Source organism: Homo sapiens, chromosome 15, assembly GCF_000001405.40.
Source record: "Homo sapiens chromosome 15, GRCh38.p14 Primary Assembly".
Lineage (NCBI taxonomy): Eukaryota > Metazoa > Chordata > Mammalia > Primates > Hominidae > Homo > Homo sapiens.
Genome location: NC_000015.10, coordinates 77877668 through 77905326, shown reverse-complemented (window position 1 = coordinate 77905326; position 27659 = coordinate 77877668). Strand labels below are relative to the sequence as shown.

The 27659-nt window shown below is 59.0% G+C and overlaps 1 pseudogene, besides 4 other annotated features; it reads right to left on the bottom strand.

The window, feature by feature from the left end:
- Positions 138-702: an enhancer, noted in NCBI's record as "H3K4me1 hESC enhancer chr15:78196967-78197531 (GRCh37/hg19 assembly coordinates)". NCBI's record gives its function as "activates a minimal SCP1, AML or CMV promoter by ChIP-STARR-seq in primed H9 embryonic stem cells {active_cell/tissue: H9 hESC(primed)}" and the evidence as "EXISTENCE:reporter gene assay evidence [ECO:0000049][PMID:30033119]".
- Positions 656-26689, bottom strand: CSPG4P13 (chondroitin sulfate proteoglycan 4 pseudogene 13; annotated as a pseudogene).
- Positions 703-1267: an enhancer, noted in NCBI's record as "H3K4me1 hESC enhancer chr15:78196402-78196966 (GRCh37/hg19 assembly coordinates)". NCBI's record gives its function as "activates a minimal SCP1, AML or CMV promoter by ChIP-STARR-seq in primed H9 embryonic stem cells {active_cell/tissue: H9 hESC(primed)}" and the evidence as "EXISTENCE:reporter gene assay evidence [ECO:0000049][PMID:30033119]".
- Positions 16891-17633: an enhancer, noted in NCBI's record as "H3K4me1 hESC enhancer chr15:78180036-78180778 (GRCh37/hg19 assembly coordinates)". NCBI's record gives its function as "activates a minimal SCP1, AML or CMV promoter by ChIP-STARR-seq in naive H9 embryonic stem cells {active_cell/tissue: H9 hESC(naive)}" and the evidence as "EXISTENCE:reporter gene assay evidence [ECO:0000049][PMID:30033119]".
- Positions 25902-26402: an enhancer, noted in NCBI's record as "H3K4me1 hESC enhancer chr15:78171267-78171767 (GRCh37/hg19 assembly coordinates)". NCBI's record gives its function as "activates a minimal SCP1, AML or CMV promoter by ChIP-STARR-seq in primed H9 embryonic stem cells {active_cell/tissue: H9 hESC(primed)}" and the evidence as "EXISTENCE:reporter gene assay evidence [ECO:0000049][PMID:30033119]".

Below are 27659 nucleotides of genomic sequence, written 5' to 3'. Positions count from 1 at the left end.
TGCCTTCAGGGAGAGGTGTTCATTTAAGCGATGACTGGGCTGGCCCCCATGGCACAGTTATCACAGAGTCTGCTGCTACCCATGGCTGAGAGCTCTAGTTCTTCCTGGTGGTCTCTGAAGCCACCAGGACGGATGAACAGCGGCTTCACCCTCTTGACTGACTCAGCTGCCTTTCATCAGCTCATCTGCCCCTAGGATCCACTCTGCCTCTGGCTGGCACCGGACCTGAGCCCCAGGCTCACACCTCTGCCCACAGGCCCAGCAGCTGCTTCACTTCCAACTCCATCCCCCACCAAGCACTACCCCTTGCCAGCTACTGGGGTGCCACTAGTGCCCCCACATGGTGCCCCCTCTCCAGACCCTCGGGTCTGGCTGTAGCTTCCTTCTGGAAGCCACACCCCAAGACCACAGCCCTGCTCTAGGGCCCTGTATCCCTGACTTCCTGCATCTTTCTCCCTCCTTCTGGGAACATGAACTTGCCCTGCCAGTGTGGCAGCTCCTGGAGGGCAGGACACCAGGGCCTGGACTATGGCCAGCCTGGGGGTGTCTGCTGCCAGTGATGCTGGAGCTGGCACCCATGTCCACATGATGTCCATGGCACAGCGGCCACCTGAGGCTGGGGGCATCTGAGTGGTAGCTGCAGAGTGGGGCCCTTATCTCTGCCTGAGTGAAGTTCACCAGGGCTTCCCCTGTGCTGCCCTGCTGGGTGAGAACAGCCGGCCCAGCTGGGGGCCCGAGACCACATTGTAGAGCAGGAGCTGGGGGTCGGTGCCTGCGCTGGAGCTGGCTCTGAGGCTCTGGCTGCTGAGTGGCTGGATGGACCCTGCCAGAGGCACAAGGGGCCATCACCCTTTGAGATCCAGGCCCAGGCCTGTGTTTGCAGAGAGGCAGCATGACCCTGGCATGCCACCCTCAGCTCCGCCCCAGCTCCCGGCACCCAGGAACGCCCATGATCAGCACACCCACCTGGGCAGACAGTCAGTGTCCAGCTGCCCTCCAGCAAGAGGAACACTTGCTTCTGGGCCATCACTCAGAAGAAGTGTCCGGAGGAAGTGTGCTTGTCATCAGAGAAGCCAAAGTGGATGCCTCCATCCAGGGTTCCTGGGGACAGGGGCATTGGGTCCGGCTGGCCCGAGCCGGCTCCCCATCTCAGGGCACCCCCGTGGGCAGCAGGAACCCGAGGCCCGGCCCTCAGCACCCACCTCTGTGTGAGAACAGCACGAGCCCGCTGTCCAGCTGCGCCTGCGTGAAGCTGCGCACCTCGGTGCCCGGCGCCCCCCGCAGCACTACCCGTCCGTTGCTGGGCTGCTCGATGGTGTAGACCAGATCCTCAGACCCAGAGTCGCCGTCCGTGCTCCTCAGAGCCTCCGCAGGGATGGGCGCAGTGGCCCCCTGCCACATCTGGGGACACAGGCCTGTGAAGGTTCTGCCTTGCCACACTCACCCACCCCTTCCTTCCTGGCCCTGGGCTGCCACCAGGGCTCCAGTCCTGCTGTGGCTCAGGCCCTCGGGTGGCATCGAGGCTGGCGCCACTCTGGCTCCCCTGCACAAAGGGCCTCCCACATTCACCTTCCCTGTCACCCCAGGGAAGGCCCCAGGGAAGGTCACCCTCCAGGCCCAGCCTCCCTGCTCTCCATCTGCCCTAGTCCTGCGTGTCCCTCAAGGCCAGCTTATGTCCCCTACCCAGAAAGACCCCAGCTCTTACCCTCACCAAGTTCTCACTCCCAGAAACCCCCAGCGCTGACCAACAGTGCTCCTTAATCTGTCTCACTGGTGGGGCAGGGGTCTCCTTTCAGAGCCTCCGTGTGTGCCTGGCCGGGGCTGGGCACAGGTGGGAATGGTGATTTTAGAAATGGGCCCTCCTTCCAGCTGAGGGAGGGATGCATGGCGCAGAGAGTGGGGGGCTGATGGTTGGCACTATTCTGCAGCACAGAATCAGTGTGGGATGGGCCCAGGTGCTTCCAGAGCAGTTAGGGGCCCTCCTCATGTTGGGCAAAGGGGACCCCTTTTCAGGCCTCCCACTTGCAAGCAGAGCAGGTGCGCCTGTTCCTGAGGTCCTGGTACCAGTCTTGCTGGGTCAATTACTTGCGGGCAGAGCTGCATTGGGACTCACATGCCTGGAAAACAGAGCCTTCTGGCATTCCTGGGCTTCCTCCCCCGGCCCCAGGGAGCCCTCAGGCCCAGCCCTGGCAGGAGGGGCCATAATGTGGGGGGCAGGACCCCAGCACTGGGCTCCCGGAGCAAACACGGGTGGATGGCACCACCTGGTGGCCATGCTGCCACACAGCCGTCCTGGCCTGTGGTTCTAGGGTGCTGTGTCCCACTATTCTGTGGCCTCTGCACCATGAGGCCACCCTCTATGGGCACGTCCTAGACCACCAAAGTTCCCTCGGTGCCCCAGGTCAGAGACAGCCCAAGTCAGCCCTCCTGTGGAACCTTCAGTGGCTCCTGCTGACCAGGGAGGACACACCCCAGAAGCTGGGGTTCAAAGCCCTGCCATGTGGGCTTTGTAAAGCCATGCCCTTTCTGTTCCACCAGAACTACTTTTGCAACCATGGAGAAGTTCCATCCCACGTCTGGGCCTCAACTTCCACCTCTGCAGAATGGGGGCCCTGCTCTGCTGTGGCACAAGGGGCAGGAGTTTGGGGAGCCAAGCCATGGCCTTCACTTGCTGGGGTGAAGGTGGGAAGCTTAATGTCTCCCGCCCTGATGCCTGCCCTTAAGGGTTTGTAAGTGACTCTGTCAGGTGTTCTGGTTCTGAGCCACAGGAGAAGGAACAGCAGAGCCACCTGTGGCCACTCGGAAGTCTGCCTACCGCACTTGCAAGTGTCCAGTAACAAAATCTCCCACCTGTGTTCTATTTCAGCACAATCTCACATCTCCCCTTCCAACAACCCCATGAGGCATGCGGCAGCGTCCCCATTTTGCAGAGGAGGAAACTGAGGCTCAGAGAGGGGGAGTTCTGTGTCATGAAGTAGGGGACGCAGGCCTCTTTCTCGAAGCAGAAATTGGGGGTGGTCCCAGGAATACTCTCACCTGCAGGCCTGTGTTTGTGGTGAGGACCGGGGGTTGGTCATTGACAGGCAGGACAGTGACAGTGAAGGCCACAGGATGGCTCTGGTGGTCCATCTCGGAGGGGTTAGCCATCAGGACAAAACTGTCTGTCAGTGTCTTGCTCCCGTCGTGCACGTACGTGGATCAGCTGCTCTTCCACCTAGGGGCAGGCCCAGGGATGGCAGTCAGGCCTCAGCAGCACCCTTCATGCCCTGCCTTTGGGTGCAGGAGGAGACTGACTCTTTTAGGGCTTCAGCTTCCATTGGTGGAAAATGGGGACCATAAGTTCTGGCTCCCAGAGGAGTTGTAAGGAAGAAAGAAGATACAGTATTTAAAGCATAGGTGCTTCTGAAATGTGACTCCCCGTCTCCTCTCTGTGTATAACCCCCAGACTGGGAGTCCCTGGGGCTCCCTCTACTCTGCCCCCAGAGCCGGGCTGCAGCCCCTGGGCCTCTCTCACAGGCATACCATTCTCCAGGAGAAGGTGCTTGAGGTCCATCCTCCTTCTGCAGGGCTCCATGCTGGGGTGGCTCCAGCACCTGCAGGCCGAGGCCCGGGAGAGTGGGGAAGTAGGGGCCGGCGATGCAGAGCAGTGGAGGGGCCAGGGTGAAGCTGCCACCCTCAGGGACACTGAAGTTTTGCACCTCCGGTGGGATGACAGTGGGCAGCACCTCCAGCTCCACACGGATGCCCTCGAGGGGAGCATCCAGGCCTGAGGCCACATCCAGCGAGAAGGCATCGCTCCAGGCCTCAGGGCGGGAGTGCAGGTACAGGACCCTGCCTGTGTCCACTGCCTCCTGGGAGAAGCTCTGCACGGGGTCCAGGCTGGGTGGCTCATCTGCCAAGGCGCCACGTGACACCATCACCAGGTAGCTGGCACTCGGCGGGCTCTTCACTGAGAATATGATGTCTGCTGGCGGCACTGCCTCCTGGGCTGCCTGGTTAAGAGGTCATGAGGACTCACATGACCACAGAGGGGGTCTCAGAGGGGTCCACTGTGGCCCTAAGCAGCCGGAACAGGCTTGATCTTGCCCCACTTATTCCTCTAGATATCACTGCTCATTTAGACACACAAACACACACGTGGGTTCACACACACAGCCGCCAGACATGCAGCTGGTCACAGTTTTTGTTTTTTGAGACAGGGTCTCACTCTGTCACCCAGGCTGGAGTGCAGTGGTGTGATCACAGTTCCCTGAAGCCTCAACTTCCCAGGCTCAAGGGATCCTCCCACCTCAGCCTCCCAAGTAGCTGTGATCTCAGGCACATGCCACCAGGCCCAGCTAATTTTTTGTATTTTTAGTAGAGATGGGGTTTCACCGTGTTAGCCAGATGGTCTCGATCTGAGCTCGTGATCTGCCCGCCTCGGCCTCCCAGAGTGCTGGGATTACAGGCATGAGCCCCCGCACCTGGTCGTGCCCGGCTAATTTTTAACTTTTTGTGTAGAGATGGGGTTTCACTGGGTTGCCCCGGCTGCTGGTCACGTGTTAATGCCCACCCCACACACGGTTGCAGGGGGTCGGTCACACAGCTTGAGAGGCACTCCCTCAGGGAGGTGCATAATCACATGTCCCCAGACTCAGTGACACAGACACACAAGTTCATCATACGCTGACGCGGTCACACATGTACACATGCGCGTGTGCACACGCACACACACAGGTCCCCCTGCTCAGGATCTGTCAGGCCTGAGGCTGGTTTGCAGGCAGCACCTCCCCAGCCCCTGCTATTACCACCCAGGACCATCAGAGGGCGCCCCGCCCCACCCCCCTGGAGGCACAGCCGCCTTCAGCTCAGGCCCTACAGAGCTCACGCCCCAAAGGCCACACGGGCTCCCTCACCTGATGGGCCAGCCACAAGAGGCCAAACCACCCCCAAACTCACATTCCTGTTCTATGCCTTTGCCCGGAATGTTCCTTCTGCCTGGAATACCACTCCCCATTCTCTGCTCCTGATGGCCTGTGCTCTTCAGAGCCCGGCCCAAACGCTGCCTCCTCCCACGAGGCCTTCCTGACTCCAGATCTGCTGGCTTGCTGTCGGCCCCAAGCTCCAGACATGCAGACCAGAAGGGTCTCCGAAATGAGCAGTGTAGGAGAGTAAGGCCAAGAGCGGGCAAGGACTGGCCTGAGGTCACAGGGCAAGTCAGTGAGCCTGCTGGAGGGCCCGTGGTTGCTCTGTGGGGTTCCTGGGTGGGCAGAAGCCCTTGACAGACCTCCTAGTCCTGGTCTGGGCTCTGAGAAAAGAGTGGGGGACATGAGGGTCTGAGGAGTAGCGGCCTGCCTCCACGGTCAGCAATCCCCAAAGCTCAGGACCCGTGATGTCCTCCCAGGGAACTGACTGCAATGGAGATTCTCGGGCTCCACGTCAGAGATTCTGTAGGGCTGGGTGGGGTCCAGGAATCTGCATGCTCAGCCATGTCATGGACATGAGTGGACACAACCTCTGGAGGCGCACACAACTCCCAGGAGGATGGGTGTATAGCAAGCTCCCCAGAAACTCCTGGGAGCACAACATATACGGGAGCACATCTGAGGCACGTGCACACATGCAACCTGGAGCCACCACAGCCACAGCCCAAGTCACACGTGTTCCTGGCATGGAGGCTGGGCGGGAGGCCCTCTACCTGGCCCACACCCCCGCTCACCACATCCAACTCCTCACCTCCAACTGGTCCCTTCTGATCTCAGCTGCCTCTCCCTGGAAGACGTAGATCTTCTTGTGCCGGACCAGCTTCAGCGGGGCCAGTGGGCCCTCTAGGGCAATGGTCACTTGTAGGGTGGCATCCGTGTGCACTGGCCCCATTTCCACAGAGAAGGCCATGGTGTCACGGGGGCTGAGGCTGCTATTGTGGCTATAGAGAACGGCCCCATCCAGCAGGTCCTGCTGGGAGAAGGCAGTGGCTGGCTGACCAGCCCAGAGTAGCTGTCCCCAGCGAGGGCCAGCTGTGACGTGGTAGTGGACCTCATCTCCATTGCGGATGTCGAGGCTGGTGTCCAGGTGGAGCACGGCCATGTCGATGGTGCCCTGGCCTCCTTGAGGGACCACAAGGCTGGAGCCGTTGGCCACACGGAGGTAGGGCTCCGAGGCCTGCACCTCCAGCAGCACAGTGGCCTGGTGTTGCCCATCGGACACCTGCAGCTGGATCCCGCCATGATCAGCCCAAGTGCATGAACAGTACTCGCCTCTTCCTGAGGTCCTCCTGGGTTAAGCAGTAGATGGGCCGCGTGGGCTTATCCATGGCCATGATACTGCCAAAGGGAGGTCCTTGCGGGTGAGCACCAGCTGGGCGTCAGCAAAGCCTGAGTCAGCATCGCTGAAGGCCACGTAGTCTGTAGTCAGCAGCCGCCACCCACCCTGGGCCACATGGAAGATCCGGCTGATGGTCTGCACAGGGGCGTGGTCATTCACGGCTGATGGCCACTCGGAAGACACCCCGTACCTCCTCCCAGGCCACGTCACCACTGCTCTCGCCCTGGCGGGTAGCAACAAATGGGATATCATCTTCCGTGGTCTCGGAGTCATCATGCTGGTAGACCAGCCAGCCACGCAACAGGCCTCCATTGGTGAAGGATGTCACCATAGTGGTCTTGTCCTGTGTCCCATGCCAAGCCAACCTCCCATGGCGGGGCCGCTCCATGACCTCATAGAGGTAGCTGGCACTGTTGAGACTCTTGACAAAGAGGTAGGCAGCAGAGAGGACACTCTCACCACCCTCAGGCACCATGAGGGAGGACATTGGTGAGGATGTGAACGTCTGGGTCATCACCAATGTGGATGGAGAGGGTACAGAGCAGGGGGAATGGTGGAGCTGTGACATGGAAACAGAAGGTGTCCTTGACTGCCTCCGAGGCACGTGCCATGGCCCCATAGGTCACCCGGCCAGCCTGTACATCATCCTAGGTGAAGCCCTGACCATCTGACAGCCTCGTGCCCTGTAGTTGAAGGTTGCCTTTCCTGGGAGCCTGAACTACCTCATAATGGAAGGTTGGGAGGCTTGGGCCTGCCTCCTCCAGGGTGGCCTCCAGGTGGGCTGTGGTGAGGGCCTCCTGATGGGTGTTCTGAGTGTGCAGTGGCTCCAGCTGCAGCATCCACATGGTGGCTCTCTGGATGGTCACTGGGAAGGACAGATTGCTCAGGATTTCCTGGCCCACCTGCACCTCCAGGGCCAGGCTCTCCATGGTGTCGTCAGTGTGGTGCTGTGGGTCGGTGCTCAGGTACCTCACGCGGCCCTGCTCCACATCCCGCTGGTGAAATGCCTGTGTGGCCCACCACTCAGCACCCTCCACCCCACCTGCCCCCTGCTTCTTCAGCTCCCCGAACTTCAGGGCTCCAGTAACGCGGAACAGCACGCTCACATCCTGCCCCACGGCATTGGTCTCCACCAACAGGTTGGCGGGCAAGATGGGCATGGCAGAGCCTTGGGCCAGGTGCAGCCCTGTGCTGCGGTGGATCTGTATGGCCGGCTGGATGGCCATCACCTTCAGCGTCGCCGGGGGGCTGGCCTGCAGTCCATCGCTGACCCAGAACGTCAAGTCCTGTGCAGGGCCACCGCGGTGGACATAGACTAGGCTGCCGGCCTCCAACTCCCGGCAGGAGAACTCGGTTGCCGGCTCTCCAGGCTGGTCTCGGCACTCCACGGGGAGGCCAGACGGGGTGCCAAGGAGCTGGAAGGCGAGGCCCTCACAGGCAGAGTCCGGGTCATAGGCCTGGAAAACCTCGGGCCCCAGTGGCTTCTGCAAGTGTTCCAGGATCACCATGAGGCTGCCATGTGGAAAGATGATGTGGGGTGGGTCATTGACAGGGTTGACCTGGATGGGCAGGAGGTAAGTTTGGCCCCTCCACAGGCATGAGGCACCCGAGCCGTCACTGACACTGGTCGGAGGTGTCCTCAGAGCCATCGTGGATGAAGCGGGCCTTGCGGTTCACCACGTCCAGGAGGGTGAACATTTTTCGTGCCTGGGCTCCCGGGATGTCTAGCTCGAGCTCGCCGTGGTGTGCCCCTCGGGTCACGCTGAACAGCACCTGGGATTTGCGCAGCTCAGCCTCCATCAGGTCCAGCGTGGGCTGCACGTGCCACCACTCAAGCCAGGCTGTGCCCCCCTTGGCCACCACCAGTGGGCTGATAGTCAGCAGCTGGGTGAAATTGGCAAAGACAGGAGGCAGCCCTGGCTCAGGCACGCATGGCTCAGGCAGCTCCATGGCCAGCCAAGCCTCAGGAGCCAGGGTGGAGAAAGCTTCATAATGTCCATAGGCATCGTCCTCATACTCCTCCTCCTCCAGCCTGCAGCCGGCTGCCATGTTGCGCGTCAGCAAAGCTTCCCGCAGCCCCTGCCTCTGGCCATTGACTCTGAGGTCTTCCATGCAGCCCAGCAGGGAGACATTGGTGGCCCCTGGTATCAGGCCCAGGCGGTGTTCCTGGAGGTGACAAGAGGCCTCTGCATCCAGCCCCCCGAGAAGGAGACTGCCCCGTGGCTCCAGGTAGCTGAGGACTCCTCGGTTCGAAGTATGCGTAGGGTACTGGTCCACGGAGATTTCTAGCCGGTGAGCATTGATGTGGACACTGACCTCATGGGGCTGCCCATCGGCCACAGGCACACTGTTGTGGAGCAATACCGTACCCTGGCCCTTCTCCACCACGGCCCGCAGGTGGCCCTCAAATATGTCCACATAGATGAAGTCCCCACGCCGGCCCCCTGCCTGGAAGGCCAAGGGTGCCTGCCGGCTCTGTGTGGTGAGTGTAAACTCTAGGGTTCCTTCGTCCTGAGCGCCCCAGGCAGGGAAGGCAGCCAGAGAGTGGGGCCCAGAGAAGCCCGGGGCTACATCATCACTGGCAGAAAACTCTTCAGCACAGCACTCACGCACGTCGGGAGTCAGAGGCCAGAGAGGCTTCGGCCATTGAGGGTGGCTGCATGGAGGCAACCACTCAGGGGTCGGCTGGTTCCCCTCAGGTAGGGCAGGCCAAGGGTCCCAGTGCCCCCAACAAACAGCCCACAGGGGACCTCTAGGGGGGCTCCTGGGACTGCAGAGGAGGCGTTCAGAAACCCATCAACTGACAATGTGGCCCAGCCCTCTACGACAGTCAGCACCACAGTGTGGGGGACGGAGTCACTCAGCAGCATCTCTGCTGGGGTCTGCAGCCTCAGCTCCTCCTGGCTTAGGACAAGTCTGACCTGAAGAGAGATGGGGAGTGGGAGATGGGGGGCAGCACTTGGAATCCATCATTTCCCTTATAAAAGCATAGTGGGTTCCCCACTCTTGGTGCCCCAGAGCGGAAAACCTAGGACAAGGGCCTCTGGTGCCACTCCTCTTGCCATCCTGCCATCTCTTTACTCATCCTCCAAACACTCACCAAAGGGAACTCTGGGCCAGGGCTGGACGGGCTCTGGGGACCCTGATGTGAATCAGATGTCGTCCTTGCCCACAAGGAACTGACATACAGCAAGATGCTCTCCTAGAAATCCAACCTGTATTTTTAAATTCTTCTCCTCTCTCCTTGAGTGAGAAGTGCCAGAAATATTGTCTTGGAACCTAGATTTCAGCCCTGGAATAATAGGGAACTGGGAATGCAATGACAGCAGCAGACTGACCAAGCCCTAGTCCTCTCCCCAGTAGGGTGTGGAAGGAGATGGCTGACCCAAATTTGTTTTTATTTTTTTCTTTTTAAAATAGAGATGGGGTCTCATTGTGTGGCTCAGGCCAGTCTTGAACTCCTAGGCTCAAGTGATCTTCTCACCTTGGCCTCCCAAAGTGGTGGGATTATAGGCATGAGCCACTGCACTCAGCCTGGCACAAATTTGGAATAAGACCCTGGGTTCTTAAACTCTTCATGGCTTGGGGGAAGACTCAAGAAAGCCACAAGACTCCTTGCTAACAAAGCTTGTGGTGTTTTGAAGGATGAAATGGAAAAATGAGGAAGCTGAGGCAGTACTGGTGCTGTTACTGTCGTGGACAGACCGTGGTGCTGCAGACAAATTGGTGCAGTGCCACAGGAATGCACAGGGGTCATGGGGGCTCAGGAGGGGGCCTAGCCCAGGAGGAGGGGATGCCCACACTGAGACTTCAAGGAGAGGCTAGAGTTAGGCATGTGCAGGGAACGGGAGAGGCGCACACCTGGCAGAAGGAGTGTGCATCAAGAGCCTGGCAGCAAGCGACTGTAAGATGGCCAGGAACTGAAAGCAGTTCAGGGCGGTCAGAGCACAAAGGGCCAGCAAGGGGTTGTGGCGGGAAACATGGTTGGAGGGAGCCGGTGGGCAGAGCCAGTTCATGAAGGATTTACCATTTCTGGGCTGCTGCTGCCCATCCCACAGTGGAGAACTTAAGACCCCAAGATAAAAGTGACTTACACAAGGTCACACAGCCAGCTGGGGTTCACTCAAAGCTAGAGAAGGAATCCCACCCCGAATCCCGCCCAGATCTCAGGGGGACGTCACTCACCTGCAGGCGTCCAGAGTAGAGCTGCAGCAGGAGGTGGTCAGCTGGGCCTGCTGCCAGGAGAAGGAGGGCTTCGGGCTGGGACGTGGAGAACTGCAGCTGCAGGTCTATGTCGGTCAGAGCCGACCGACCAGGTGGTTCTCACCGAAGAAGGAAGCTGTGTGAGAGAGGGAGCTGTGGTCAAGGCTCAGACTCTTGCCTGGAGGAGGCGAGGTGCCGCAAAGAGGGACGGGTGGGTTGCAGAAAGGGGTCCATGCTGGCGCACCCTCATGGTTCTGCTGTATGGTGCTGCCTCTGAGCACTGCCCGGGTCCCAGTGAGAGGTGGCAGCCTGCTGGCAGCCCTCACAGCCCGGCGCCTCCTCGGCCTTGGCGCCCACTCTGGCCGCGCTTGAGGAGCCCTTCAGCCCGCCGCTGCACTGTGGGAGCCCGTTTCTGGGCTGGCCAAGGCCGGAGCCGGCTCCCTCAGCTTGCCAGGAGGTGTGGAGGGAGAGGCGCGGGCCGGAACCGGGGCTGCGCGCGGTGCTTGTGGGCCAGCGCGAGTTCCGGGTGGGCGTGGGATCGGCGGCCCCGCACTCGGAGCAGCTGGCCGGCCCCGCCCGCCCCGGGCAGTGAGGGGCTTAGCACCTGGGCCAGCAGCTGCTGTGCTCGACTTCTCGCCCGGCCTTAGCTGCAATACAGTGATGGGAATGGAAGAAGACAGCTAACATGGGAGAAAATTATTAAAACTGAGAAGGAGAAATCAAGATGCCCTCCTCCATAAAGACTGGATTCACATACAGACCAAGGCCTGAGGAAGGAGACGGAGGAGGAAAACTCGAGGGAGACAGAGAAGGCGGGACGTTGGCAGCAAGCCTGCTGCTGTGCACAGGAGTGAGGAGGGGACGCCCAGCCAGCCTGCTGGGGAGGGAGGGCCCTGCTCCAAGACGAAGCCAGACTTCTCCATCACCGCCCCTCGGGGTTTGGCACCACGGGGGGAGATCCTGGCTCCAGGTCTGGGCAGGCAGGGGTGAGGGAATCTGAGGGGGCTGTGGGATGGGGTGCTCTGGGAGGGCCAAGGCCGGGATGAAGGGCTCTCTGTCTCCCCTCATGGGTGTGTATGTGGCGGGGCAGGGGTGGGGTCGTGGCCCACCTGGGGGCTGAATGCCGGCTGTGTGAGAGCATGGACGGGCCAGGTGTGCTTCCCCAGCAGCAGACCCTCCCTGAGGTCACCTGGCCCTCTAGACCTCAGGTCAGTTTCCCTCCCCTTGCACCTTCAAGGGACTCCCCTATTTTACTTCCGACAGCAATCTACTTCCAACCCAGCAGGCAGGGCATGGGCGAGTGTGTGCGGGAGTGTGGGTCAGTGTCACATGTACACACGTGTGTGGCGGCAAGGCACGCGAGGAGGGCATGCACTGGGTCCATGGTCTGGCCCCACTGTGGGCCCTGGATACTGAACCATTACTGGGGGTCCCCTCCCCAGCACATTGGTCTCCCTGGGCTCCTCAGGCAAGGGAGAAGCTGTCTGGTGTGCCTACTCAGGGGTGGGCCCCTCTCAAACCTCCTCCCAGCAGACTCCCCAAGGCTCAGCCACCCACACTGAGCTATCACCTTCCCCCAACCCTGTTAGTTTGAGGGTAACAAGGGGGTAGGTTACAGGGGAGACTTAAGGTCAGACTAAGGGGAGCGACCTGCCCAGTGATGACACTGGGGTCACCAGGGCCCAGGCCTAGATGGCTCATCACTGGCCAGGGTGGGCTGCCTGGGAGACGCTCACACACCTGCAGACCCCTCAGGGCTCACTGCTCTTTAGCAACTCTTCCTGGCTGCTTCCAGACTGGGATTCCACCACCCAGGGCCATCCCCGCAGCCCACAGACTGCCTGCTCCTCTCCTGTCCCGTGAGCTACCGAAATGCAGACAACAGTACGTTAGTTAAGGGCCAGGCATGGTGGCTCATGCCTGTAATCCCAGCACTTTGGGAGGCTGAGGCAGGCGGATCACCTGAGGTCTGGAGTTCGAGACCAGCCTGGCCAACATCGCAAAACCCTGTCTGTACTAAAAATACAAAAATTAGCTGGGTGTGGTGGGACACACCTGTAATCTCAGCTACTTGGGAGGCTGAGACAGGAGAATCACTTGAACCCAGAAGGCAGAGGTTGCAGTGACCCGAGCTGCACTCCAGCCTGGGAGACAAAGCGAGACTCTGTTGCAAACAAAACAAAACAAAACAGTAGGTTAGTTCCAAATCCCATGGAGCTTACAACAGCAGCCATCCTCTCAGGAGACACTGCTTTATCCCAGTGGGGGTGCTGGAGTGCCAGGCACCTGCTTAGGTGACTGCCTCCACGTCTAAATGCTGCAGAGACCTCTGCCAGGGTCAGGGCAGCCCCATCCCTCCTTGCCCCAAGAACTCTTGAGCCAAGAGATGCACACTCAGGTCAGCTGACCTTCTGTTTAGTTGCCTTTCTGGTCCCTTGCAAGGCCAAGGAGGCCAGGGAGGAAAACAGTTTCCTCAGCTATTGGCTGGGCCCTGACCCTGGTCACTGGCCTCAGCTACCATCCTCTAACCAAGCGCTTTGAGTCACCCATGTAGAGGGGCATGTACTGGGGAACATTTCCAGTTGAGGGAACCCGTCTGGAAGATGAGTGGAAGCAGGGGCAGGTGGGGTGGGAGAAGCTGAGCTTGGTCCACAGAGGCTGATAGGGGCTGCGCCCTGGGCTCCCAGCCACATGTCCCAACCCTGGGGCCTTGTGGAGCACAGAGGAAGAAGGAGAGGAAATGAGAGGTTTTGAGGGAAGAAGCAGCCCAGAGTCCAACGAGGCGGGAGGGCTGGGCTGGGGGAGGAGGAAGCGGGGCCTCAATGGTGTCTTTGTGGAAGCCTTGCTGCTCCCCAGGCCTCAGGCGAGGAGGGTGGGGTGGCTGCGGTGGGGAGCGGTTCCAAGAGGCTTTTACCTGCCTTATAATTTTCCCTCTTGTACAGGGAGATGGGTGGGTTTCCAGGCCCCTTCCGTACCCTCCTTTCCCCCACTTTCCTGGCCCTAGCGGACCTGGGACCCTCACTCAGTGGACCCAGGCTGGGGTAGGGTTTCTGGCAGGGAAGAGAAGAGTGAAGGACCCTCACTTGGTGCTGCCCAGCCCCCCAGGCCCAGCAGGCTCCTGGGAGGCATCTCCCATGTTACAGGTGAGGAAACTGAGGCTCAGAGAGGGCAGTCCTCCGTGCTAGCCTGTGGAGCAGTGGCAGGGCTGGGACTTAAGCTCCCGCGGGTGTGGCTCCAGAGCTAGGGGCTGTGGGTGTCAGCAGGGCACATGCACCGTGTGTGCACCCAGAGAGGCGTGGTGGGTTTGCTTGCTGCCTGTGAATCGGAAGTGGAGCATCTGCCAATGGCCCCAGTGGGAGGAGGGTGTGAGAGCTGGACCCCAGCCTGGGGAACACACACTCTTTCCCTTCTTGTCCCCTGGGACTCTTCTGTCAGGGCCGGGTGGAGGGGGCAGCGAAGAGGGGATGGAAGCATCTGCTCTCCTTGGGCGGTTTGGCAGCCCCGCCTCTGTGGCTCTGGGGCTGGCCGAATAGGGAGGGCCCTTCTGCAGGGGCTGGCGAGGGATGACTAGGTCCAGAAGCCAGTGATAAGTGCCAGCCCTGCCCACTGGGGACTTGGAGGTCTGGGAGGAGGGTGGAGAGACAGGGGTCTGGGTGGGAGCTGCCCCCAGGAGGCTGAGGGCCAGGCTCTCTCCTGGGCAGTGTCCAGGACCAGGCAGCCCATGGCTCATCTCTGAGTTCCCCTCGGCTCTGGCAGCAGAAACTGCCGAAGACAGGGCTGTCGGGGCGGCGTCTCGGGGCTTCCCCAGCCTGGTGGGCTGGGTCTGGAGATAGTGAGTGTGTGAGTTGGGATGGGGGAAGAACAGAGGAAACGGTGACTGTGGGTCTGGACGGCTGCCTGGACCTGAAATCTGGTGGCACAACTTGTGTACAGTGGCTTGTGTGCCTCCTCCTCAGTTCCCCCATCTGAATACAGGGCAGAGGGTGGGCTCACCCCACAGGCAGAAGTCCACGTCCAGGGCAGATGCCTGGGTCAGGGCTCACACCCCCAGCACACACACAGGGCTCAGAGCCATGTGCTTCCATGCTTTCCCTGGCCTCAGTGTCCCCATCTGTAAAAGGGGACCTGGATAGAGGGACTGACACACATCTGGCCTCTAACCAGCCCAGCAGACTGGCAAGAGGTGTGGCCACTACCGTGGGTACAGTAGAGCCATCTCTGGCCTAAATGGCCACAGGTCTGGCCAGACTGGAAGCTCTTGAGGACAGGACCAGGGCCCACATGCTAAGAGAATGAAAGGATCAAATGTGGCATTTGGCCCATGTGAGGGTTTTTCTATCAGGCAGAGCTGTCCCACCACAGCAAGCCCCCAGCACTGGTGGTGCTCCAGCGGGAGGGCGTTGCCGGGGGGTGCACCAGGAAACCTCAGTGTCCTTGCTAGTGAACCTCTGGGCTACCCAGGCCCATCAGGGATCCCAAGACTGAGACCTCTCTTCCTGGGCAGGCCTGGCTCCTCCTGGAATAGGTTCCTGCCTAGCACCCCCACCTGCCAACTGCCTGGAAGCCTGCAGCCTGTGGGCCCCCCTGGAGCTGTGCCCACCGCCACCACACTCCCTCTGGCCCTCCTTTTCTCTCCCGGCCTCAGGCCCAGCCTCTGCTAATGCACCACGTCTCTCTCACTGGCACCAACTCTCCAGGGCTCCAGGCCCACTGCCAGTGTCCCTCAGATGTCCACGGCAGGAACACCCATAGGAACCCCCAAGCCCAGCCCCACCCAAAGCAAGGAGGACTCAGTGTCGTCTCCCCTACAGCCGGCTCGCCAGCCCCGTGAAGGCCCGACTGTCCACCTGTTGCTGAGTAGACATCTGAGGGTCGCGCTGAACTCTCCTCCTCCTCCCTCCCCACAGCCACTGCTGATTAATACTCAGGTTCCATCCATCCAGTCCCCAAATTCTCCTTCAACTTCATCTTCCTCTCTTGCTCCCTGGTCCATCCATAAGGCGGCTGGCCACCGTCCTTGGTCTGGCTTAATCAATCTCCTGACTCCCTTTGCTAATAGCAGCCCCAGTTAACCCAAACTGAAAGCCGCTCTCTCAGCCTCCCTTGGCTTTGCTGGCTCCCACTGCCCCAGGGTCAGGCCCCCACCCCTGGGTGGCGACGAAAGCCAGGGTGCCCTCGGCCCTGCCTGCAGGGTCTCTTGCTCTCTTCCACGGACACTCCACGCCTCCGCCTCACTAGACTCTGCACTGACTCTGCGCACACCTAGCAGGCCCGACCTGCTGCCTTCGCTCAGGCTGGGCCTGCTGCCGGGCCAGCTCTTCTCTCCTGTCCGCCTGTGAAATGTCCTCATGCTCTTTTGGGAAAAAAGCCCAAAGCGCCTTCTTTGTCCTTGGGGTGCAAAGACACTCGCTGTGGCCCAGGGGGCTGTGCTGTTGTCACCTCTCTCCATTTACACTGTGAGCCTTGGGGACTAGACTGACCTTGCTTGGGGACAGGAGGTGAAAAGAAAGGAGGGAGGGGCTGCCTCTGGGAGCTCGCCCCAGCCCTCCCCACTTTGTCTTACCTCCAGGCTCCTTTCCAGGCCTCTTCTGCTCTCCAGGGCCCCAGGGCTCAGAGGCAGGGGGCTGGACATAATGGCCAGGGAGGGCTGGAGGGACTGCCCCAGCCAGAAACTGCTTTTCTGGGCCTGTGATGACAGAGTCTTGTGCTTGTTTTTAAAGAAAATAGAATCTGAGCCCCTATTTATAGCCGGAGGCCACAGCCACAGACAGAAGACGGATGGGGTTTGAGGCTTACAGGCCCCTGCTCTAGCATGGACTGGGAGGTGGGGCCATTCCCAGGCCCCCCTGCCCGCCTTTGTCAACCCCCAAGGAAGTGCCTGTGGGATCCTGACACTCCCTGGGACAGGATGTAGCCTGCACTTTGGGGCACGGGAGGACCTGGTGAGGGGAGCGGAACATTTCTCAGGATTGGTCCCTGGGGCCCAGAGTCCCTTGTGGGAATGGGAGGAGGTGAGGGTCTGTTATGTCTACTGAGAAGGCAGAGAGGGCCCTGGGGACGGGTGGGGTGCTGGCGGCAGGGAGCACTTCTGACTGCCGTGGAACCCGGTAAAGGAGAAGGGAAGGAGAACAGAGCAGGACTGGAGAGATGGGCAGACAGACAGAGAGACAGGGTAGGAAAGACAGACAGAAAGAGATGGAGGAACCACAGCCAGGGGTGGGAAAGGACAGAGAGATGGAGAGAGCGGGATGGGGGGATGGACTGAGAGATCGGGGGTGCTCTGCAGCCCGGGTGACCCTGCGCAGGGGCAGACAGAAGCCGTGAGGGGAGACTGAAGTGTGGCTTCCGTTCCATAGAGTCTTCATGGTGCTCCAGGCAGCGTGGTCAGAGTCCGGGTGGAGCCGGTGAGGAGGGAGGAAGCAGGCGTCTCTGTGGCCTCGCCCACCCCCAGCCTCCAGGGTCTAGGGGCTGGAGACCCTCCGTTCCCGGCAGTCTCCACGGGGAAGGCCCAAGGCCTATTGGAGGCAACTCAATGTTGTGGGGCAGAGCCCAGATTGACCTTGTCACCAAGATCCCCAAGGGCTGTCTTGGGCACGGCCGGGACCTTGAGGGACAGGTCTGGTCTCTGGCTTGCTATGGAGTGAGTTCCCTAGGCCTGGAGGGCTCACAAGCTAAGGCTATGGCCTGGACTCACACCTGCTGCCAGCCTCTACGCAGACCCCTCCCTTGGCTGCGCTTGTAGGGGCTGTGGGGTAACCGTAGCCTGGGGCATGTGTCATGGAGCCACAAGCAGTGACTCAGACAGTTAAAAAAGGAGCAGCTCTGAGTGGTGACTCAATTGGCTCTGGAGGGGCTGGGTGGGTCTGGCTGGTACAAGATGGGGTGGTCTGGGTTTATTTTTGGCAGGGCGGGGCTGGGGCCAGGGGGTGGAAGATGGGAACCGGGGGTGGAGAGGAGCCGCTGCTCTCATCCCGGGGGGAGCCCCAGGGCTCCATGCCAACTTAGGAAAGTGGCTTTCCAATGCCAGGGAGTCCTGGCAGGCTGGGCTGCTTCTCAGCCCCATTCCAGGCCTAGCCTGCCTTGCTGCTTGGCCCAGGACAAGCAGCTGGCTCTCTCTAGATAGAGGCAGAGGCCCCTGTCCTGTTCCCAAGAGGCTCAAGCTCAGAATTTAGAGCTGACCTAGGAGACTGAAGATTCCACCCAGAGGCCCAGATAGGGCCAGGGTCTCCCCAAGGCCACACAGCAGGGCCAGGTAGCCCAAGGGCTGTGGCACCATCAGCCAGCTGGCTCAGGTCTCTACAATATCTCACCGGCCCCAGGGCTGTCCACGGTTGGAAGGACAGCCCCTGTCTGAGTACCCACCCCTGGAGGGGCTCAGCCAGGCTCCAGGTGGGTGGCCAGAAACACATGGGCCCCACATGCCCAGAGATAGAATCTCGGCCAGGGGCAGCCACTTGGATTCTGTTAGCACATGTGGGTGGGGGGCCTGTCTGGGCCCTGTCCAGGGGTCTGTGGAGAAGAGTCACCTCTACGTGGGTGAAGGCAGTGGGGGCCTGCACAATGGGATCTTGCCCTGAGGGCTCAGGCACGGGCCGGCCCTTGTCCGGGGTCCCTCCAGTGTCCCAGCCCCAAGCTGCACACCCCACTCTGCAGTCACCTCAGTCACCTGCCCACACCTCCCCCTACTCTGAGCTCACATACACCCATCCCCCTGAGGGGTCCTAGCAGCCCAGAGCGGAGAGGGCTGTCCCCTCCCTCAGTCCGGATTTCTGCTCCTCGTGATGCAGCCACCACTGCTTATGTCATGAGTGGTGGTAACAGCCCCATGGTGGCCCTGGCAGGTGAGCTATCTTGCGTCCCTGGGCCCTGGCCTCCAGCCCCCACCTCCAGAGAGGGATTCGCGAGGGGTTGGTAGAGAGCAGGGAAAAGACAGGCTTCTAGGGTCCCTTGTCCCATAAAAGGTCCTGATACCTGCTCATTCTCTTCTCACTCACCTGCTCTGGGGACAGGGGGTTCCTGCTGTGCCCCGGCCCAGTGAGCCCCATCCTAGGGGCTGTTAGGCTTGGGAGAAACAGGCCCTGGGGAGGGCCAGGCAGGGGCTGTCCCTGCTTCTTCTAGCACTGGGAGAGGGGTGTGGGCCTCAGCCCAGTTAGCCACAGAGATGCAGACCCCCACCCCCTCCCACCTTCTGAAGGGTCCTGGGCTGGCAGGCAGCCGCTGGCTGATACCCTCTCCAGAGCCCACCTCTCCTTTTCCACGTCCCTTGGTCCCACACGGACTCACGGGGCCACCTCCTCTAGGCCTTTGCCTCGGAATCTTCCTGAAAGACTCCTAAGCAGAAGTCCCCATGTCACCAGGCCACTCCACCCTGGGAAGAAGATGCTAATAGCAGAGTGACTGCAGCCTCAGGAGCAGACGTCCACCGAGCATTGATTCCAGGCAAAGTGTCTTGCTTAATCCTCACACGTAATCCTCGACGTAAGAGGTCGAAATTATTTATCCCCATTTTAGAGAGGAGAAAACTGAGGCTCAGAAAAACAGTCACTTGCCCAAGGTCACGCATGGAGTGTTAGGGCTGGAATTCAACCTGAGCTCTCTAATGCCGTGTTTCACCACCATGTGCCTGGCCTCCTGCTTCCCTGTGTGGGTTCCCACAGCTCAGGACTCAGAGGAGGGAGAGATGGGGCCTGGGTCAGGGCTGAGGGGCAGGGGAGGGGCTCCCTCTTAGCTGCTCGCAGACTCCCAAAAAGGGTGATTTGCTCCTTCCTTGACCAGGATGGGAAGTAAGAGAGTGTGTGTGTGTGTGTGTGTGTGTGTGTGTGCACGCGCGCGCGCGCGTGTGTGTATCTGTGTCTGTGTCTGTGTGCGTATATGTGTGTCTGTGTGTGTATGTCTCTGTGTGTGTATCTGTGTGTGTCTGTGTGTGTATCTGTGTCTGTGTGCATATGTGTGTCTGTGTCTATGTGTGTCTGTGTGTGTATGTCTGTGTGTGTCTCTGTGTGTGTGCATGTGTGTCTGTGTGTATCTGTGTGTGTATGTGTGTGTCTGTGTCTCTGTGTGTGTCTGTGTGCGTGTGTGTGTGTGTCTGTGTGCACGTGTGTGTGTCTGTGTGTATGTCTGTGTGTGCGTATGTGTCTGTGTGTATGTCTGTGTGTCTGTGCGTATGTGTGTGTGTATGTCTGTCTGTGTGCGTATTTGTGTGTGTCTGTGTGCGTATGTGTGTGTCTCTGTGTGTGTGTTGTGTCTGTGTGTCTGTCTCTGTGTCTCTGTGTGTGTGTGTGTGTGTATGTGTGTGTGTGTCTGTGTCTCTGTGTGTGTCTGCATATGTGTGTGTCTGTGTATGTGTGTGTGTGTGTGTGTGTGTGTGTGTGTGTGTGTGTGTGTGTGGCTAGGCCTCAGGCCTGCCTGGCTGGCCTCCAGCTGCAGGAGAGCTGGTCTGGCCCCAGCCACTGTGCACAGGGAAGGGGCAGGGAGAAGTGGATGTCGTGGGAATCAGTGTCCTGGTCCCACTGGTATTTATAGCTGCCCCTCCCTGAAATGTGGGTGGGGGAAGGGGCTGCTCTTAGATGGGAACGGAAGTTCGTCTCCTCTCCCCAGCCCCCTCTGACTCCCCAGAGAGTGGACTGGCCCAGGCCAGAGGGCCTGCTCTGGGGGGGTTTTCCCTGGGGCTGCTGGCTCAGGGGAGGGACACTCCTTGCCTGCTGAGCAACACTGTGTGTGTGTGTGTGTGTGAGTGTGAGAGTATGTGAGTGTGAGTGTATGTGTGTGTATGTGTGTGTGAGTGTGTGTGAATGTGTATGTGTGAGTGTATGTGTGTGAATGTGTAAGTGTGTGTGTGCACACATACGCATGTGCACTTACTGGGTGTCAGGCTGAAGAAAGTCATGGACCAGGGACAGAGGCCAGCTGAGGGTAGGGGAAGAAAGGCCTGTAACCCCACAGAGATGGAGGGCAGGGCCCCAGGAGAGGGGCCATCCAGGTCATGGGTCTCAGAGCAATCTGTGGTTAGAACAGGCTCCTGGGGGTGGCGATACTGGAGCTGAGCCTTGGAGGATGGGGGAAAAGGGAAGGCCTGTTGCATGGAGCAGCTTGAGCAGAAGTGGAAGGGTGCCAGCGGTTATGGATTATTATCTGATGGCCTAGTTCTATCTGATCAGCCAGTCTGTGGGACACGGGATCACCTTGACCAGGGAGGATGATATATTTAGGGAGAGAAGGACATAGCACAACACAGTTGAGCATCCCTAATCTGAAAATTCAAAATCCAAATGTCCCTAAATCCAAAATTTTTGAGTGTCAATGGGATGCCACCAGTGGAAAATCTCACACATAAGAACTTTTTTTTTTTTTTAAGATGAACCCTCACTCACTCTGTCGCCCAGGCTGGAGTGCAGTGACATGATCTTAGCTCACTGCAACATCTGCCTCCCAGGTTCAAGCGATTCTCATGCGTCAGTCTCCTGAGTAGCTGGGATTACAGGCGTCACAAGCACACCCAGCTAATTTTTGTATTTTTAGTAGAGACAGGGTTTCACCGTGTTGGCCAGGCTGGTCTCGAACTCCTGAGCTCAGGTGACCTGCCTGCCTCAGCCTCCCAAAGTGCTGGGATTACAGGCAAGAACCACCGCGTCTGGCCTCCACACGTAAGAACGTAACATAAATTTCTCTCAGGCACAAAATTCTTTAAAAAAAATCTATAAAGTTACCTTCAGCCTATGTGTATAAGGTGTATATTAAACATAAATCAATCTCATGTTTAGATTTGGGTCCCATCTTCAAAATATCTCATTATATATAAGCGAATATTCCAAAAGCCAAAAAAAATTCAGAAATCTGAAACACTTCAGGTCCCCAACGTTTCAGATAAGGGACACTCAGCCAGTGTGGAGTGAGGGCCAGCAGGCAGCGGGCAGGAGTGGGAAGCTGGGGCAGGAGAGGCCACGCAGCCCCAGGCCTGCTGTGAGGAAGCTGGGACTGCCTTCTGCTCCCGGCCTCCAGGCTCCCAGACTTGGGGAAGGACATCTTCCAAGGACCCTTAGTACCAATCTTCATGGAACCCAATCTATAAACAGGTTTGTGGAGTGGCTCTGCATGAATTGGGGTGGGGCAGGCGTCCCATATTCCCAAGCTCAGCTGTCTCCAGGCCGGCTCAGCTGGAGAGCCCTGGGGTGCGCTGGAGCGCAGTCAGAAAATCCCTGGTTGGCTCAGTGATCTCTACACCCCTCTGGGGGCCAGGCTGTGAGCCCTACAATGGGGGAGACCCCTGAGCAAAGCAGGTGGGATGTGTGCTCCCGGGGAGCTGCTGGTCCTGAGGGTGAAGCTACCTCCCAAACCAGGGCCAAAGAGTAGGGAGCCCTCCCCCTAATCTCCTGAGGACTCACTGTGTGACTCTGAACAAGCAGGCTCCTCTGTCTGAGCCCGGGTTTCCCCAGGATCCATGGGGGGCTGGTCTGGGGTCAGGGGTTTCTGCAGTAAGTTCCGGGAAGGGAGGCAGCGTCACTGACACACCTCAACCTTAGGCCGCAGGAGAGCCACACACTGAAGTGTTGAAGCAGGAGCGATGGCTGGAGGCCTGGCTAACGCATGCATGCCAGGGCTGGCAGAGCCAGCGGCCTCCTCCACAGGCTGGGAGCCGGCCTGGGTGTGGGAAGGAGCTGAGCGAGAGGCAGGAATGCTCAACAGGACAGGCACTGTCCCTGATGGGGCCCACCCCTGCCACCAGGCCACCTTGACAGCAGCCCTACAGCTATCACCCTACATCAGAGACAAAAGTGGCTTCATTGGCAACCCTAGCTTTGGGGGGAGAGGGTTTTTTGAAGGGGATTTGCTTAGGCTGTGAGAAAGTGGGGAGGGTTTGGAAAGGGAGAGAACGCTGGCTGGTGGGGGATGGGGAGACAGAACAAACATCTGGAGTCCTCAGCGAGCTGTCTGTCCCTGCAGACCTCTCTCTTTCCCCTGCTGGGGCCCGAGCCCACTGGTGGGTGGTTGTCCACCTGGCTTGATGTAGGGAAGCTTGTTGCTGTTGGAGTGAGTGAGAATACCACGGCCTGTGTGCCCAAAGAGAGACCTGAGGCAGTCCCTGCTTTTCTCTGAGCCTCAGTTTCCTCATCTGTAAAATGGGAATGTTGGACAGGTATGGTGGCTCACACCTGTAATCCCAGCACTTTGGGAGGCCCAGGTGGGAGGCTTGCTTGAGCCGAGGAGTTCGAGACCAGCCTGGGCAACATCGTGAGACCTTGTCGCTACAAAAAATAATTACCCTGGTGTGGTGGCACATGCCTGAAGTCCCAGCTACTCAGAAGGCGGAGGTGGGGAGATCGCTTGAGCCTGGGAGGTTGAGGCTGCAGTGACTGTTTCCTGACCGGCAGGGCTGCTGTGGGGCTGCAGGACTAACAACATGGTTAGTGCACACCCTGGGACATGGGACACCCAGCTCGTACCTCTAGTGCAAGCACAGCAATAAGACAGCTTTGTCCTCTCCTGTTTGGAGTTACGGACCCTCCTGAGAAGTGGAGAGAGCTAGATACCCTTGCCCCATGGAGGAGCCAAGTACAAAATTGTTCATACAAATTCAGTTCATTTAAAAATTCCTCATACAAACTCAGTAGGAATGGTAAAACAGTAAATTTGAAACCTGTCTTAAGCTTGCAGCTGGAGGAAGAGTCTTAACTCTGGAATGCTCTATTGAACTGACATATGCTGGGGCGGAGGGCATGTTGGAGGCGAGAGGAGAGCTGGATGGGGCAGGAGTCCGGGAGAAAGGCGATGAAGGAGCAGAGGGACCAGGGAGGGGCCAATCTCTAGTCCCAGACCCACAAGCCCCTGTTCATTTTCTCCTGGCCTTGAATAGAAGACACAGCTCAGGGTGGCACCCCGTCCCCATCCTGTGCTCACTTCCTTCCTCGCAAGCGCCACTGGCCCAGATCTTTAAGGTAGGGGACTTGGAGACAGAGGCAGTAGCCATGCTCGTCCAGGTCTGTGAGAGTGGCCGTGTGCAAGTGTGTGTGCCCACATCTGTGTGCGCCAGTAAGTGTGGATGTCAGGGCTATTTCCAACTCCCCCTCCCCTGCCCACCCGTCCTGGGCAGCACTCCCAGTTCCCAGACACAGCCTATACACTTCCTCCGCGAGCTCCACACGCACCCCACTCCCCTCCTGCCATCATCGACAGCCGCCTGGCCCACCTGGCATGGCCCACCCCAGGCCCCCCAGGCGGGCAGCACTAAAAGGCCCTTCTTGTCCTGCCCGGGCGGGCAGGCGTAGGGAGGGAGGCTCCGTTACACTTGCTCTAGAACAGTTTTTCTCGAGTCCGGGTGGGCTGGGCCAAGGGCTCTGGCCCCTGGGCCCTGCCCTGCTCCGGAGGCCTGGGGTGGCACACAAGGTGCACACAAGGCTCAGTGCCTGTCCCGAGCACCATCGGTCCCCCCAAGCCATCCTCAGAGGCAGCAGGATCTACCCTGCTTCAATTTCTTGTACCTGGTGTCCCTGTGGCCCTGCTCACTAAGATACCCCCATCAGTTCTGAGTCCCCACTCAGGTAACACACAAGCCCTCCCTGCCAGGTACTCCCCCACCTGGGTCCCACTTCAACCCCTCACATTCTGCCTTTCAGTCAGCGATGCCAGGGAAGAAGTGTGGGAGCCACCACCCCTGCCTGCCCTGTGCTCACTGTGACCCCCCGACTAGAATGTCACCTCCTTCCTTCTCTGCCTGTCCTTCCAGTATCAGCTCAAATCCAATCTCCCCAATGCTTGGCTCTCTGCTGGGGCCTCCCATACAGCTCAGAAGGAGGTGGACACCGCATCTGTCACCCACACTGTCTCAGTGGCCCAAGCCTAGGCCCCGACGCAGGCTGGGAGCACCCTCGAAGCAGGGCTGGAGGCTCTTCCTGGGCTGCTGGGGTTCTTGGTGGAACTCAGAGTACTTTTCTTCCTCTCTGGGGCCTCAGTTTCCCTCTCTATACAAGTGGAAGATTGGCCCAGATGGCCTCTAGGTTGCTGACTGCCAGGCCCCCTGACCCGGATGCCTCAAATGTTGATGAGTAGAGGGAGAGCCTCCCAGCACGCCTCATTCGGATACGGGAGGACGAGGGCCTTTGCAGCCAGGGGCATCCGGGAGGGGTGGGAGGGACGCCTTCCTCAGGCAGGGGCTGCCCCTACTGCAGAAATCAGGGCAGGCAGCTGGACCAGGAGTGGTGACAGAGATGGGTTGCTGGACGGGAGCTCTCACAGCCCCTCCTCATTTCCGAGTCCTCCTAAAGGCAGGGGATGGTGTAACTTTATAAAACCCCACAGCACCATGCTGCTCTCTTGCCCTAAAACCCTTGTGGCATCTCCTTTGCCAACAGGGCATAAGGCCGTGGGCTTCATTTTGCCATTTAAGGCTTCTGTGCCCCAGCCCAGTGGTTCTCCCTGGCCTGTGCTCGAAATATGCCTCCCAGCCAGGCTGCTGGCCTTCCTGTCTCAACACCCCTCTGCTTACACCCACCTTGGTGCCTCTGAGTCAGCGCCCCTGCCTGGAGGACTGACTCCCTTCCCATCCACCAAGGCTTGGTTTGAGGCCCACCCTGTGTCCTGCCCCAGCTTGCCCCTGCTTTTCTCCCCTCTGTACTTTTCATCCAGATTTTTGCTGTTTGAGATTTAATTTGCCTTTCTGCCTCCTGAATGAGTCTCAGTTCAGCCTCTCAATTTCCCGTGCCCCTGCGAGCCTAGCACCATGCCTGCATGCTGTCAGGGCTAAGAAGGTATTTGAGAATGGCTCTCAGTTGAAGCCCAAGGAGGTGGGGGTACTGGAATCCCTCCTTGGCTGGAGGCTGGGGCCTGAATGAGCTGACCACCCTGGTCACCTTGGATGCTCCCTTCCCATCTCCCTGGCGGCCCAGCCCATCCCTCAGGCCCTGAGATCTTAGGGGATCTGGTCCCTGCAGGAACAGGGAGCCTGGGGATCCAGCCCTGATTCACCCCGCGGGGGTCCTCCCTTGACTCACTTCCCTTCTGGGAACCATGTGATGCCCTCTTTTAGAGCTGGCTTCTCCATCTGAAGGAGAGAAGGGTGTAGCCTGGGCCCTTGTGAAGGAGGCTCAGGCCCTGCCTTTGCTCCATGCTGCTCTTGGGAATGATCTCGAAGGTGTAGCTGAAGCACTGAATCACACATGGGTAGTGATGATGGATGGGCCCTAAGGCTGCAGTTCTTATGGCATAACTAGAGCTGCCTTCGCTGAAGGAAGAATGCTGTCATGTTGGGGTTTCTGGCATCGGGACAGAGAGGGGATATATCCCAGCACTTCTCTGAAAGCGAACTTCCATTCAGCCTCTGCTGGGTCAGGCATCAGTGCTGGGATGAGGAGGTGTGGCAGGGGGTGGTCCAGAGCTATCTGTAGGACAAGCCCCGCTGAGGGGCACCAGCTCTCCCTCTAGGAGGCTGAGAGTGGGTAGTGGGTGGGGGGTCCTGCCTGTCACCAACAGGAGGAGGGAGAGGAGAGAATGAAGAGGGGAGGTGGCAGATAGATGGATCTGCAAGGAAGCAAGGGGAGGAGAGAAGGGGCAGAGCTGGGGGGCAGCTGGAGGGGTGTGGGGGTGCTCCTCACAGGGGAGGGCAGGGTGGCTCCTTCCTCGTTTCCCACCTTGTAGCACTCCCCGTTCCTGGCCCAGGGCATCTGAAGCTGGAGGACCCACTTCTCACTGTCGCCGGGTCCCTTTGGACCCCAACATACTCACCCCAAACTTGCCTGGCAAACAAAGCTCGGACAGCATTGGGGTGGCCCCACTGGTGTCTCAGACAATCCAAACGGGCAAAGCCACGCCCTAGGCAATCCATGCCTAGGGCGCCTGCTCCCGCCCCTAACTGGACAGCCTTGGCTAGCTAGAAACCCCATAACCTGAGATAGCGGGGTCCCGTGTCCGCCCCAGGATTGAACCCCTGGCGACCCCAGCTAGTGGTGGGAGAAGCGCAGCCTGCTTGACTTCTGATCTGGGGGCCACTTCTGGGTCCTCCTGTCCCTTTTCCCTCCCTGAGGAACCCCTCTAGTTCTGCCAGGCTGGGTCAGGGTCTCAGGCCCCTCACTCATCCACGGATGCAAGTCTGGCCAACATAGCCAGGGTCAAAGCCAGGGCCAGGGCAGGGGCTGGAGGTGAGGGCTGTGGCGTGGACTGCATCCCGGCTGGCTGAGTGTCAGGACTTTCGAGGTGTGATGGTGACTGATCCATGCGGGGGTTATGAGTACTGGTCTTGAAACCAGAGAGACCTGGGTTCGAATCCCCGCTCTCCTACTTGGCTGTCAAACCTTGAACAAGTCACCTCACCTCTCTGTGGCAGTTTCCTCACTTGTAAAATTGGGTTGATGAGGATTAAATGCTTTAATGTACCTCAAGTGCCTAGCCCAGGACCTGGCATACAGTAGGTGCTCAATAAATGCTTATCTTTTCTCCTCTGTCTCTGTCATCCTGCACATCCCTGTGATTCATGGTTTACATATAGCTTTACACATATCACTTCCTTTGTTGCAAAGCTTCAATTTTCCCCTCCGGAGGCTGCTGCATACAGTAGGTGTGCAATAAATGCCTGCTGTAGTTGACTAAGAAACCAATTGCTGCTGTTCTGTGGGGATTTTGGCAAACCTAAGAGCTTCCATCCATGTGCCCTAGGAGGCCTGGGATGAAAGCTGTGCCAGGCTGGCCTCAGTGGTGGTAAAGCCATTGATTCCACAATTTGTCCCTTGTTTTTCCTTCTCCTCAAGTCAGCAGGACACCTGGTCCTCATTAGGGGCTAATTACTGGCCAACTGTGGGCCTGGGGTTGGGGGTGCTGCTTGGAAGACTGTGTTTGGAGGAAAAGAGCTTTCTTTTCAGGAATGAAAAAATAAGACAGAAGGCTTTTTGTTCTATGAATCAAAAATTTGGGTGAAGATCTCTGCTGGCCCCATCTCCCCCGCCGTTCCCCCTCCCCATCTTCCCTGCTCCCCACCTACACAGATGTCTGTGGAGCCTCCAGACAGGGCGCTCCCACCCACAGCTGAGATTCAAGTCTGGATTAGCTGGGAGCCTCCCCCTGCCTTGTTGCTAGCTGGGCAGAGAAACACAGGCCTGGAAAATAATGGCAACCAGCACGGCGGTAATAACCCGGCTGGCGCATCTCTGCTGGGGCTTCCCAGTTTACAA